This window comes from Homo sapiens, chromosome 8 (assembly GCF_000001405.40).
Source record: "Homo sapiens chromosome 8, GRCh38.p14 Primary Assembly".
NCBI classification, from domain to species: Eukaryota; Metazoa; Chordata; class Mammalia; order Primates; family Hominidae; genus Homo; species Homo sapiens.
Genome location: NC_000008.11, coordinates 26,177,831 through 26,192,214, shown reverse-complemented (window position 1 = coordinate 26,192,214; position 14,384 = coordinate 26,177,831). Strand labels below are relative to the sequence as shown.

The 14,384-nt window shown below is 45.3% G+C and overlaps 1 long non-coding RNA gene across 3 annotated transcripts in view, besides 2 other annotated features; it reads left to right on the top strand.

The window, feature by feature from the left end:
• The window catches only part of LOC105379336 (uncharacterized), a 73,813-nt gene that overhangs the window by 17,709 nt on the left and 41,720 nt on the right, over window positions 1-14,384 (top strand). For all 3 annotated transcript variants that reach the window (XR_001745851.1, XR_001745850.1, XR_001745853.1), the window contains exon 2: window positions 1,339-1,461. This is a non-coding gene — a long non-coding RNA (uncharacterized LOC105379336). The remainder of the gene's footprint in view (window positions 1-1,338; window positions 1,462-14,384) is intronic.
• Window positions 2,856-3,056: a silencer, noted in NCBI's record as "peak6961 fragment used in MPRA reporter construct". NCBI's record gives its function as "represses an SCP1 promoter by STARR-seq MPRAs in K562 erythroleukemia cells {active_cell/tissue: K562}" and the evidence as "EXISTENCE:reporter gene assay evidence [ECO:0000049][PMID:32103011]".
• Window positions 14,097-14,263: a silencer, noted in NCBI's record as "fragment chr8:26035468-26035634 (GRCh37/hg19 assembly coordinates)". NCBI's record gives its function as "represses an EF-1alpha promoter that drives an FKBP-Casp9 reporter gene in an ReSE screen in HepG2 liver carcinoma cells {active_cell/tissue: HepG2}" and the evidence as "EXISTENCE:reporter gene assay evidence [ECO:0000049][PMID:32094911]".

Sequence of the window (14,384 nt, the reverse complement as noted above, 5' to 3'; positions counted from 1 at the left end):
GAAACCCCGTCTCTACAAAAAATACAAAAAAATTAGCTGGGTGTGGTGGCGCATGCCTGTAGTCCCAGCTACTCAGGAGTCTGAGGCAGGAGAATCACTTGAACTTGGGAGGTAGAGGTTGCAGTGAGCTGAGATTGCACTACTGCACTCCAGCCTGGGCGACAGACTGAGACCCTGTCTCAAAAAAAAAAAAAAAAAAAAAAAGTATCTGGATTACTAAGGTGCCAGCATGGGTCTGCAATGAGCTTCTGTGAACCCCTCCAACCTTGGTGCCCCCAAGGCCAGGACTCTCAGGGATTCCCCAGCTGCCCCAAGGTGCTCACCCAGGAAAACATGTTGTGCCGCTCTGCCCACTGCCCACAGCTGGTGCATCAAGTCTGCCTGCTGTCCCACATGCAGGTGTGTGGGAAAGGGGCAGCAGGAGAAAGAATTCAAATGACTCATAGCAGAAGCATCCTTGCTACTGTGCCTGCAAACTGCAGCCTGCGGAGAACCAGGGAACATCATCTTTCTACATTTAATTATGCAGCCTTGGAAAAAAGATGGAGAAGTGAACACTTAACTCAAAGCCGTCAGGGTATGAAATGAGCTTGTGTCAAAGGGTCCAATACGCGAACAGCCTAGAGGATGTGTTCATGTGGCTCCCAGCCCCGAACTTCAGCCCCCAATTCTCTATGCATTCCTTTGGCAAACGTTATGGAAAGTCTATAGAGTTCCTGGCATGTTTGCATACATTATTTTATCTTGTGCAAAATTTAAGGGGGTGCCTCCCCCAAAACACTCTTACTCAGTAATCAAGATGAATAATATTCAATCCCATATTTAAGGTAATAAATAAATGCAAAAAGTTAATGATGAGAAAATGACCAACATTTTATTTCATTTTTATTTGTACAAAGTTATGGGGTAGAAGTGCAATTTTGTTACACGCATAGATTGTGTAGTGGTCAAGTCAAGGCTTTTAGGATACGCAACACCCAAATAACGTACATTGTACCTATTAAGTAATGTATCATCATCCAGCCCCCTCAAAAGTTTAAATAAAGACGACGTATCAGTCTTGATGATTTGTTGTTTCTTTTGCCTCAGCTCCTTAATGGCTGGTCATTTTTTTATTACACCCTTGGCGTAGGGTGTGGAATGGCATTTTGTAGACAAAATGATTGCACGTCCAATGAGCTGGGGAATTTACTCTAGCCAAAGTGGAGACCCAGGATTTGAACCTGGGACTTTTGACTCCCTTGTGCCCTTATAAAACTAGCCACCGGCCTGGTTTTGTGGCACCGACATCTTTAGCACTAATGCCTTCTTCAAACGATTTGTTAATGTGTGTTCCAGGCAGCCCGCACCCTTTGCCTCTGAAATAACTACTTTTTGGAGGTGCCAGAGGAGAGAATCGGTGGAGCGCCCTCCTGGAGTGGGATCACAGCACCACCCAAGCCTAGAATCGTCATCTTCTGGGTAAGCAAAACATTTACTTCTCTGTGAATAACCAAGTCAGCCTGTGAGTCCCTAAAGCCATTTGACCCTTCCCATAAGCGTCTCACTGGTGGAATGCGAGGCTGACCATGGAATCAGTTAGAGTAATAGCAAATACTAGAATTCATTCTAAGCGAGATTACCATTCAGGTCACGAAGTCGGGGGACTCAGCGGAGGCTTTGCGCGCAGCCTTTTCAAGGGAAAGCAGCCTGTAGAAATCCGTGCTTTGCTTCCTGCACGGCGGGTAGAGCAGCGGGAGGAGGGGAGGCTTCCCAGTTGGCCGCGGGACCCGCTTCCCCAGGTGCCCGGATCGTTTGGCGTGGAACTGCTCCAGGGTCTGGTCTGGACGCGGGGGCGCCACGCCCGGCTCCCGCTGTCGTCGCCGCTCGCACACTGCTACATACGGTGCTCCAGGGGCCCGGCCCTGCCCTGCCGCCGGCGCCTCGCCTTGGAGCAAAGGCAGCTCTAGCGCCCTGACAAGATCCCAGCAGAGGCCTCCCGGATTCATCACCACAACTCAGGCTTCACCTTCCCCTGGGTAACTGAAGGCTTTAACTAAAGCCCTGGTCTCACTTTACCTGCCTTATCCCACCACCAGAGTTGTTGTTGTTGTTGGGGTCTTGCTATGTTGCTCAGGCTGGCCTTGAGCTCCTGGGCTCAAACCATCCCCCCATGTCAGCCTCCCGAGTTGCTGGGTGAGCCAGGCTGTTGGTAAGCTAGGTGCATGAACCCGGGTGCCTGGTTTAGAGACTTTCACTTTGGTAGGCGAGTGAGACTCCCTCTCCAAGTGCATCTTTAGGACCCAGTAAATTCAACTTACATCACCAAGCTATGGCCCCCTTTGCTCTCCTGCTTATCGTCATAATCAAAATGATTGCTCCACTTTACTGAGCAGTCCCCAGGTAGCAGGCTCAGTGTCAGGGATCATTTTGCAGGCATCATTGTGTTTAACTTCCTCCAAACCCTTTAAGTTAGGTGCTGTTATTATCTTCATGCTATAGATGAAGAAAAAGGCCTAGAAATATTGTAAATGTATCTATCCAACTCACTCAGCTGGTAAGTGGCTGTATCAGATTTTTATTTTTATTTTTTTTAGCTGGAGTCTCGCTCTGTCACCCGGGATGAAGTGCAGTGGTGCCATCTCGGCTCACTGCAACCTTCGCCTCCTGGATTCAAGCGATTCTCCTTCCTCAGCCTCCTGAGTGGCTGGGATTACAGGTGCCCGGCACCATGCCCAGCTAATTTTTGTGTTTTTCAGTAGAGACAGGGTTTCATCATGTTGGCCAGGCTGGTCTCGAACTCCTGACCTCAAGTGATCCACCCGCCTCGGCCTCTCAAAGTGCTGGGATTACTGGCTTGAGCCACCGCTGGCCTGGTGTCAGGTTTCAAATCCAAGTGGGAGAATTCCAGGGCCCAGACACTTACTCAGATAACATCCTCTGCAAGGCTGTGTCGGATCTCGTTCAATCCTCACATACTGAGCATCTGCTCCAGGCCATGTGCTCTGCTTCGGGCTTGCTGAATTCTTACAACAGCTGCGTCAAGTACACACACATGTTAAAACGATTTTGCAGATAAAGAAAACTAGGCTCAAGATGTTACTAGTCTTTTCTTCTGTTGGATGTTGAGTCTGGATGCATGCCTGGGGTTGGATAGAAAGATGGAAAGAACTTGGACCATTGATGATATCATTGAGGCACCGCACTAATGAGCTACCTAGAGCCAACGTACCTCTGGATTTCTTGTCCTGAGAACAGGCAAACATACTCGTTATTTTTAAGGATTTGATTTATTGTTTCTGTTACTTGTGGATGGAAGCAGCCCAGCTGACAGAACTGGGATTCAAACACCAGTTAATCAGACTTCAAGAATGATTGGACATGTTTTGCAGACCATCGTCCTATCTTGTATCATAAAATTATTAAAAAGTGGCAAGTTCCTCGGGCGTGGGGTGATTTTTACACGTGGAACATTATGGTGGAAAGAGTCAGGAGGCTTAGAATTTAATCCTGGCTCTTCCTAGGTTGCTTATTGACCCACGAGGGAGATAAGACACCAGTGAATGAGATGGTAAGGATTGAGTGGTCAAGCCAGTGAATGTTTTAGAAAGTGTTAAAAATCATAGAAATTAAACATCTGGACAATGGGTTTTCTGCAAAGGTAAAAGATCTAGAAAAAAACCCCAAAAACAAACAAACAAACAAAAACAAAGCCATAGCCCCTGCTTAGTAACAGAATGCTCTTTGTTCCAAAGTCTGCACAGATGCTCATTACATCCATATCCAGTCCCATCCAGAGCCCTAGTGAAATGAACAGTGTCATACAGTAGCAGAGAGGGGCAACTGGACCACTGCTTGCCATGATTGGCATGCTTGGGTTTATAAAACAAACATGCTATTTAATAATACATCATTACTATATACCTGTTACCAGTTTTCAAAGAGATATGATTCTGTCAAGTTTAGCTCATGGTGTAACCACACAGAATAGTGAATAATTTTCCTTCGCTGACTGAGCAAGATTTCCCCCTTAGAACTGTGCAGGGTCATGGGTCAGCTGTGATCATCATTGCAGGGTGGTATGGAATATAATGATTTCAGGGTGATGGAGTGCAAAATATGCCCACTTTCACTTAATAATGATTTCCAGGAACACATTTTAATAGCTTGGGCTAATAAGCTAGTAAACAGATCCTGTGCATGCTTGAACCAAGTGGCTTTGACAGCCTTGCCCCTAGAGAATCAAGGCCCCGCAGAGCTGGTGGGCTGAACCAACTCTGATACATAGAAAGGCAGGTTGAGAGCCAGATCATGTCACAGTCCTGGGTTTTATTTATTTATTAATTTTTAATTTTTTTATTTTTTTGAGACCGAGTCTCACTCTGTCACCTAGGCTGGAGTACAGTGGTGCACTGCACTCTCAGCTCACTGCAAATCTCTGCCTCCTGAGTTGAAGTGATTCTCTGCCTCAGCCTCCCAAATAACTGGGATTACAAATGTGCACCACCATGCTTGGTTAATTTTTGTATTTTTAGTAGAGATGGGGTTTCACCATGATGGCCAGGCTGGTCTTGAACTCCTGGCTTCAAGTGATCCGCCCGCCTCAGCCTCCCAAAGTGCTGGGATTACAGGCGTGAGCCACCACACCCAGCCACAATCCTGTCTTTTATATAAGTTGTATTACTGCCTGTGCCTGCGTTCACTCATCTATTTATAGAATGGGGCATTAGAGTCAGCCCTCTGTGGGTTTGGCATTTCTGGACTTAACCAACCACAGATCGAAACTGTTTGGAAAAAAAATTGTGTCTGTACTGAACATGTACAGACTTTTTTATTATTATTCCCTAAACAATACAGCACAACAACTATATACATGGCATTTGTGTTGTATTATGTATTATGAATAATCTAGGGATGACTTAAAGTATAGAGGAGGATGTGTGTAGATTATATGCAAATACTATGCCACTTGATATCAGGCACTTGAGCATCCTCAAATTTTGGTATCTGCAGGGGTTCCTGGAATGGTGTCGCACATGGATACTGATAGGCAGCTGTATGCTTCTTTGTTTCCCAGAAAGTTGTAGAGGGTAATTTTGTCTGTAAAGTAGTTTGAGATATAGGCATCATGCGAATATGTGTCTTTACCTGTACTGTTTATTTTCTTCAGATAGTGAGGCCATTCCGAAATGAATGTTCAGTTCCCAATCCTACAAACAAGTGGCAAATTAATAACAATAATAACAGTGCTCCAAGTCAGAAGTTTAAAGCTTACAAAATCAATAAAGATCCATTTCAGAATTTCACAAGTGTGTAGTCTCTGAAAGGTTGGCTTTAAAATCACTTGGAGGAGGTACCTTACTTACAATATCTATGTCCGGGCCTCACACCAAGCCTATTGGATCAGAATGGGGTGTAGGGACAGGACCTAGAAATCTGCCTATGACAATCTCCTCCGATGAATCTTGGGATGAATACTAGGGTTTTAGAGAGGCTGGTTTAGCCCTTGGAAAACAAAATAGCATGAAACCTGAAGTGTCATTCATGTATCAAGGACATTCAATTACAGGATATAGTAGTGGAAAGCTTCTACTCCCATACATCGTTCTTTAGCCCCAGTGCAGAGGGCTACCGAATGAGCTCCATCCCTTGGGAGGAACATCTGCCTGTAAGCACTGGCCTGGGCCAGGCAGTTCAGGGTGGGTTGCCAGTTCAGTGATTTGTGTAAGCTGATACACTCAGGGGTGGGGAAGGGCAGAGCTCCCACTAACCTCGTCAGCCCTCACTCCGTCCTCAGAACTCAACCCAGCCATTGCTTCCTCTGGACAGCCTTTCCTTACCTTTGTTGCTCTGGTTTAATTTTGTTTATTATTCTGAAATTATTTTTCATTGTGGTAAAATACATTTAACTTAGAGTTTACAATCATAACCATTTTTTTAGGTATACAATTCAGCAGTTGTAAGTACATTCACATTGTTGTGCAACCATCACCATCGTCTATTTCCAGACCTCCTTTCTTACTGCAGAACTGACACTCTGCACCCGTTAAACACCAACTCCCATTTCCCCTTTCCTCCAGCCTCTGGCAACCCCCGTTCCACTTTTTGTCCCTATGAATTTGAGTCCTCTAGGGACCTCATGTAAGTGGAATCTTGCAGTATTTGGGTTTTTGTGAGTGGCTTATTTTACTAAACATAATGTCCTCAAGTTCCATCCATGTCGTAGAATGGGTCAGAATTTTCCTACTTTTTAAAGCTAAATATTCCGTGATACACCAGACTTTGCTTACCCATTCTTCCATCAATGGACACTTGGATTGCTTCCACTTTTCAGCTATTGGGAATAATGCTGCTGTGAACATGGGCGTGCAAATATCTCTTTGAGACCCTGTTCTCAATTCTTTTGGGTATCTACCTTGAAGTGGGATTGCTGGATCATATAGCAATTCTATTTTTACTTTTTTGAGGAACTGTCATCCTGTTTCCCATGACAGCCCCCTAGAGTAAGGTAATTTTCCATTGATTTATGTAATTATTTGATTGTCTGTCTTCCTACCATGAGTGCAGGGACTTTGTTTATTTTTGCTGCCTTAGCTCCTGTATCTCTGTATCTAGAGTGATGCCTCGGACATGGTAGTTCCTGAAATACCTGATGAATGAATGAATGAATGAGTCAGCCTAATATGAACACAGCATTGTATAGAGGCCGCCTCTGCACTTAATGAGTTTACAAATTAGTTGGTGAGACATGACACACACAAGGCAGTGAGTAAATATAAGAAGGATATAATTATGTACTAAACCCTAAACTGTGGTTGTGTTTTTAAGCATGAGAGGAATTGAGAGAAGTAGAAATTTTTGTGGGTGGGAACAGTCGAGGAAAAATAGGTGGGTTTTGAATAAAATGAAGGAAGGCAGTTTAGGAAGAGGAAAGAGTTTCCTTCCTCTTCTCTCCTAGCACTATTGAAGTATAATTGACAAATTAAAAATTACGTATATTTAAGGTATACAATGTGATGATTTGATATATGCACACATTGTGAAATAATCACCACAATCAAGCTAATTAATATATCTGCCATCACACATAGCTATCATTTTCTTTCTTTTTTTTTGGTCTTGAGAACACTTAAGATCTACCTGTCTAGCAAATTTCAAATATACATTACCATATTGTCAACTATATTCATTATCAGTACCCTAGATCTCCAGAACCTATTCTTCCTGTATAACTGAAACTTTGCACCCCTTGACCAATATCTCCCCGTCTCCCCATTTTCCCTGTCTCCAGCCCCTGGTAACCATCCCTCTACTCTCTGCTTCTGTGAGTTTGACTTTTTTTTACACTCCCCATATGAGTGAGATCATGCAGTATTTGTGTTTCTGAGCCTGGCTTATTTCACTTAGCACAATGTCCCTCTAGGTTCATCCACATTGTCACAAATAACAGGATTTCTTTCTTTTTTAAAGCTGAACAGTTCTCCATAATGTATATATACCACGTTTTCTTTACCCATCCATCCATTGATGGACACTTAGGTAGCTTTCACATCTTGGCTATTGTGAACAGTGCTGCAGCCAACATAAGAGTGCGTGTATCTCTTTGATATACTGATTTCATTTCCTTTGGGTAGATACTCATTATTGGGATTGCTGGATCTTATGGTGCTCTATTTTTAAATTTTTGAGAAACTTTCATATTGCTTCCCATAATGGCTGCGTCGGTTTTCATTCCCACCAATAGTGTGCAAGGGGATGAAGCCACCTTCACTTGTGATTCTTTCTTGGAGGCCCACTTTGGAGGGTGAGGTACAGGGTTAGCTAAGGAGTCTGAAGACATCAGCCTAGGGACAGCTGTATGCAATGTGAATTAGACGTGAGCAAAGGTCCAAAGCAAGCTACCAGAGGAGCTTGCTGTCTCAGAGGGTGCTGCTATGGGGAATGCAGGAACTAGCCCCTGCTTGAGAATTCAGCAGGCAGGCAGTGAAGGGGGATCTATCAGTTCTCCCTACGGGAAGCAGAGCAGGAGCCCACACTCTGGCTGAGGGACTGGAAAAACAAGGCTTGGCCCTGTCTAACAGGGCTGGGGCAGAGGCAGAACTGGAAACAGGGATCAGGATCAAAGATTCATCTACAGGACTCAGAGGTATGATAAAAACCAGCCCCAAAAGCTGTGAGCTGGGGCTAGCTTCACCCTGAAACATCACACATCCATGCAATAGGAAGAATTCTTCATGCTAAGGAGCTGCAGCCATGAAAGTCCTTTTTGCCCTTTTTTTCTCAGTTGGGATGGGCTCTGCAGCTTGGCAAGACTGAGGCTACAAGAAGGCAGAGGAGTCAGCTCAGCTCTGGAGTGGGAAGGCTGGGAGAGGCAGATGCAGAGGGAGAGGAGCAGGTGTCAAGATTCATATGCAAACAGGGAGCAAACAAGGTGTGTGGGGAGTGAGGTGAGAAGAGAGGGCTGGCTGGCTGAGAAGGCAGGGACTGGGTATAACCAGGAACTGAGATGAAATAGAGGCTGATGTTCAGACAGGGTGTGGGAGGCCTGGAAGTCACATGGAGACACTCCTATTTCACTTTCCTCCTCCTCAAGTTAGGAGAGCCAAAATATCACTGCTTTAACATCCAAGTTTGGAATTCTTAGGGTACAGAATGATCTGCTTAACAAAGATCCCAAGGGACCAGCTTGAACCTGAAAAATTAGAACTGAGGGCCTGTGTGGCCAGGGCGAGGTGTGAGTCAGACTCCGTTAATTGGCTCTGCAAGGAAATGAACAGAATTTTGGGTTTGAGGAGTGAGAAAACTCTGGACGGACTCTAGGGAAAAGAGGATGTCTTAGTCTGTTCAGGCAGCTATAACAAAATGCCATAAACTGGGTGGCTTATAAACAAGGAAATTTATTGCTTGCAGTTATGGAGGCTGGGAAGTCCAAGATCAGTGTCTGGGGAGATCTCCTCTTGGTTCATAGGCAGCACCTTCTTGTTGTGCTCTCACATAGTGGATGGGGAAGAGGAATCTCTCTTATAAAAGCACTGATCCCAAGCATGAGGACTCCGCCTTTATGACCCAATCACCTCCCAAAGTCGTGATCTCGGCTCACTGGAACCTCCACCTCCTGGGTTCAAGTGATTCTCGTGCCTCAGTCTCCCAAGTAGCTGGGTCTCCAGGTGCACACCACCACACCCGACTAATTTTTGTATTTTTATTAGCGATGAGATTTCACCATGTTGGCCAGGCTGGTCTTGAGCTCCCAACCTCATGTGATCCACCTGTCTCAGCCTCCCAAAGTGCCTGGATTACAAGTGTGAGCCACTGTGCCTGGTCCCAAAGTCCCCACTTCTTAATACCATCATGTTGGGGGTTAGGATTTCAACATATGAATTTCGGGAGGGCAAAAAACATTCAGACCATAGCAGGGGGTGTTGTAGTTTGGCTTTTCTTTTGTTTTTTATTTTTTTTCTTTTTGAGACTGAGTCTCGCTCTGTCGCCCAGGCTGGATTACAATGGTATGATCTTGGCTCACTGCAACCTCCACCTCCCAGGTTCAAACAATTCTTCTGTCTCAGCCTCCCAAGTAGCTGGGATTACAGCCTCATGCCACCACGCCTGGCTGATTTTTTTGTATTTTAGTAGAGATGGGGTTTCACCATGTTGCCCAGGCTGGTCTCGAACTCCTGAGCTCAGGCAATCCACCTGCCTCAGCTTCCCGAAGTGCTAGGATTACAGGCGTGAGCCACCACGCCCAGCCTGTAGTTTGGGTTTTCTAGGAGTTAGATCCTAAGACAGAGTTTAATGACCAGGATGTCTGTTAAAGAGGGCCCTTGGGATCAAGATTATAGGAGAAAAGAAGCTGAGCCTTGTTGCAGGCCTCACAACCTCAGGAGACCCTATGGGGCCATCTAGGGCTGAAATGGCCTGTTAGAGTTGTCCCCACTTGGGCTGAAATGGCTGGGCCTTCATATGTCCTCTTTTATCAGTCACTCGACGTGAGCCACCTCATGTGATGACCTTGGGTGTGACCTTGGGTGAAGTGGTACTGCAACTGAGGCAGACCATGGAAAGGATGACAGGTGGAGGTTGTCTACTCACCATTCTCACAGTGGGGACAATAGGCCCTTTCTTTAAGGTGATCTGGGCTCTGTGTCATTGGGTCCAATGTGGGGCATTGGGGCTTTGAAACTAGAGACTGACCAAGACGGTGCTTAGTCCATTCGGGCTGCCATAACAAAACACTTTAGACTGGGCAACTTGTGAACAGCAGAAATTTATCAGTCACAGTTCTGGAGCTTGGAAAGTCCAAAATCAAGGTGCCATCATATTCAGTGTCTGGTGAGGGCTTATTCCTCATCGGTGGCGCCTTCTTGTGGTGTCCTGACATGGTGGAAGGGGCAAAAGGCACAAGGGAACTCTCATATCCAGGGATAAAGGCACAATCCAATCAAAAGGCTCCACCCTCATGACCTAGTCACTTCCCAAAGGCCCCACCTCCTAATACTGTCACCTTGTGCGTTAGGTTTTAATATGTGAATTTTGAGGTCGACAAACATTCAGACCATAGCAGAGGGTTGCAAGGGACAGTTCCTCAGTAGTAGGAATGTCTAAGACAGCATTAAGAACTGAAGAGATTAGTCCCAGCTACTTGGGAGGTTTAGGTGGGAAGATCGCTTGAGCTCAGAGTTGGAGGCTGCAGTGAGCTACGATCGGACTCCTGCACTCCAGCTTGGGTGACAGAGAGAGACCCTGCCTCAAAACAATAGAAAAGAACTGAAGAGATTAATGTTCAATTTTAGACTATTTGTGGCATCCCATAAAACACTGAGCCCACCACACTTCATGTTCCTCTGGCGTGTCCTTCACACAGCCGTGAGTTGGTGGTACCTTGAGGACTGATGGCCTGGAGGCAGTGATGAGTTGGATGAGATGGTGCAGAAGAGGACAGCACAGAGAAGGCAACATGCAAAGCAGAGCTCCTGCTTCTAAGCCCTGTAAGCCGCAAGTGACTAGGAGAAACTTCAGGCCGCCTCATCACCTCCCATTCCCACTCCAAGAATCCCTGCAGATGTTGGGATGGGCACTTGGTTTTACAATATATGCCTTAGTCAGTCAGGCTGTTATAACAAAATACCATAAACTGGGCACCTTATAAACAACAGAAATTTATTTCTCACAGTTTTGGAGGCTGGAAGTCTAAGATCAAGGTGCCAGCAGGGCCTCCTTTCTGATCTTCCTGGGTCCCCTTCTGTGTCCTCACCTGGTGGAAGGGCCAAGGCAGCTCTCTGGGGCCTCTTTTATAAGGCCACTAATCTCATTAATGAAGGCTCTGTCCTAATGACCTAGTCACTGCTCCAAGGCCTCCTCTCCTAACACCATCACATTGATGACTAGTTTTCAATATACGAATTTGGAGGGGACACAAACACCCAGAACATGATATTCTATCCTAGGCTCCCCAAAATTCATGTCCTTTTTGCATACAAAATGCATTCATTCCACCGCAATTACTCCCAAAGTCTTAACTTGTTCCAGCTTCAACTTTAAAGTCTAAGACCAAAGACTCATCTAAATATCATCTGAATCAAATATGGTGAGACTCAAGGTATGGTTCAGTCTGAGGTAAATTGCCCTATAGTTGTGAACCTGTGAAATCAAGCAAGTTATGTGTTTCTAAAATACAGTGGTGGGACTGGCATATGGTGGACATTCCTATTCCAAAAGGGGAAAATAGGAAAGAAGAAAAAGGTAAGAGTTCCCAAGTAAGTCCAAAACCCAACAGGGCAAACAACATTAAATCTTAAGCCTCAAGAATAATCTTCTTGGCCAGGTGCGGTGGCTCAGACCTGTAATTCCAGCACTTTTGAAGGCTGAGGTGGGAAGATTGCTTGAGGCCAGGAGCTCAAGACCAGCCTGGGCAACATAGTGAGACCTCTTTTCTACAAAAAATTAAAAAAAAAATTCTGGGTGTGGTGGTGCATGCCTGTAATGCTGGCTACTCAGAAGGATGAGATGAGAGGATCACTTGGGCCCTGGTGATTGAGGCTGCAGTGAGCAGTATTTGTGCCACTGTACTCCAGCCTGGACAACAAAGTCAGACCCTGTCAAAAAGAAATAATAATAATTTTCTTCTTTGACTTGATGTCCTGCTTTCTAAACACACTGTCATGGGAGTTGGGTCCCAGGTGGCCCCACCCTTATGGCTTTGCTAGGTGCATCCCATACCACAGCTTACTTGGGTTGGAGTTGCTTGTCTGTGGCTCTCCCATACTGGAATTGCAAGCACGTGAGTCTATCAGTCTAGAGTCATGAGGGCAGCTTTGCTCCCATGGCTCCACTGGGCATTGCCCTGCCCTCATAGTGGCCCTCTACCTGAGTCATACATCCAAGAGACTCTATTCTTTAAAATCTAAGTGGAGGTAGCCCTTCCCCCATGGCTCATGCATGCCAACTGCTGGCAAAGATGGCACCACACAGGTGCCACCCAGGGTGACTTTTCTGTGCCCTCCAGAGAGGTAACCACCACAGCCCGTACTGCAACTGGGCTTACTGGAGCCATTCCTAGGGTGGCTGAGCAGCACTGTGCCTGCATGCAGGGAGCAGAGCCTTGAAATTGTTCTGCCCCATCCTAAGCTCTTATACTCTGGGCTTCTGATAAAAGGGTCAACCCCAATGAACTCCAATGCCTTCAGGGTCAATTATTCCATTGCCTTGTTAAATAACACTTGGCCTCTGTTGAGATGGCAGATCCATATTAGTCTCCTTATTGGTTGCTTGGCCACACTCTTGTTCTTTCTCATTTCCTTCAATATGGATAGGCTGAGAATTTTCCAAATTTTAAAGTTCTGCTTTCCTTTTGATTAAAAATGTCATCTTTAAATCATTTGTCTCTTCTTGCATTTTATTATAGTCATTCAAAAGAAACCAAGACAAACCTTCAACATGTTGCTTAGAAATTTCTTCAGCTAAATATACTATTTTATTGCTTGCAAGTTCTACCTTCCACAAAACACTATGATGTGAACACAATTCAGCCAAGTTCTTTGCCACTTTATAACAGAGGTAGGCTTTTGTCCATTGTCCAAGAACATATTGTTCATTTCCATTTGAGACCTCATCAGAATGGTCCTTACTGTCCATATTTCTACCAACATTCTGATCATAACCACTTGAATATTCTCTGAGAAGTTTGGGGCTTTCTCTACAGTTCTCCTTTTTTCTTTTTAGGCCCTCAACAGAATTACCCTTTAAGTCCATTCATTGCACAGTAGGCTTTTTCTAATATGCAACTCAAAACTCTCCCAGCCTCTCCTCATTACCCAGGTCCAGAGCCACTTTCACATTTTAAGGTATTTGTTACAGCAGCACCCCCACTTCTCAGTGCTAATTTTCTGTCTTAGTCCATTCAGGCAACAATCGCAAAATACTGTAGACTGGGTGGCTTATAAAAAACAGAAATTTGTTTCTCAGAGTTCTGGAAGCTGGGAAGTACATGATCAAGGAATTGGCAGCTTGAGTGTCTAGTGGAATCCTGCTTTCTAATTCATAGATGATGTCTTCTTGCTGTGTCCTCACATGGATGAAGCGGCAAGGCAGATCTCTGCCTTCATGATCCAATCACCTCCCAAAGGCCCCATCTCCTGATACCATCACATTAGCAGTTAGGTTTCAACATATGAATTTGGGGGGAACAAAAGCATTCAGGCCATATATAGTACCATATCTAGGATGAGTGTTTGAGCTGATTTAAAAAATTGTATTATGAAGCGCAAGAAAACTCTAGCAAGGTAGAAGACTTGGAAATATTGAGGGGCTGATATATATCTGGGCTATTGTGGTAACCAGCTTCGAAAGAGGCCCTCAATGATGCTTGCCCCTTGGCATTCAAACACCTGTGCAGTCTTCTCCCACACCAAATAGAGCTGACCTGTATAATTAATAGGATATTACAGAAATAATGGTGTCTGACTTCCTTTTTTTTTGAAACAGAGTCTCACTCTTTCACCGAAGCTGGAATGCAGTGACGTGATCTCGGCTCACTGCAACCTCCGCCTCCTGGGTTCAAGTAATTCTCCTGCCTCAGCCTCCCAAGCAGCTGGGATTACAGGCACACACCACCACTCCCAGCTAATTTTTGTATTTTTAGTAGAGACGGGGTTTCACCAGGTTTGCCAGGCTGGTCTTGAACTCGTGACCTCAGGCGATCCATCCCCCACAAAGTGTTGGGATTACAGGCATGAGCCACCATGCCTGGCCAATGGTGTGTGACTTCTGAGGCTAGGAAATAATAACACATTGTGACTTCCACCTTGCTACCTCTTGGATGGCTCCTTCTGGGGAAGCCAGCTGCCATGTTGTGAGGACACTCAAGCAGTCCTCTGGAGAGGGCCATGTGACAAGGAACTGAGATCTAC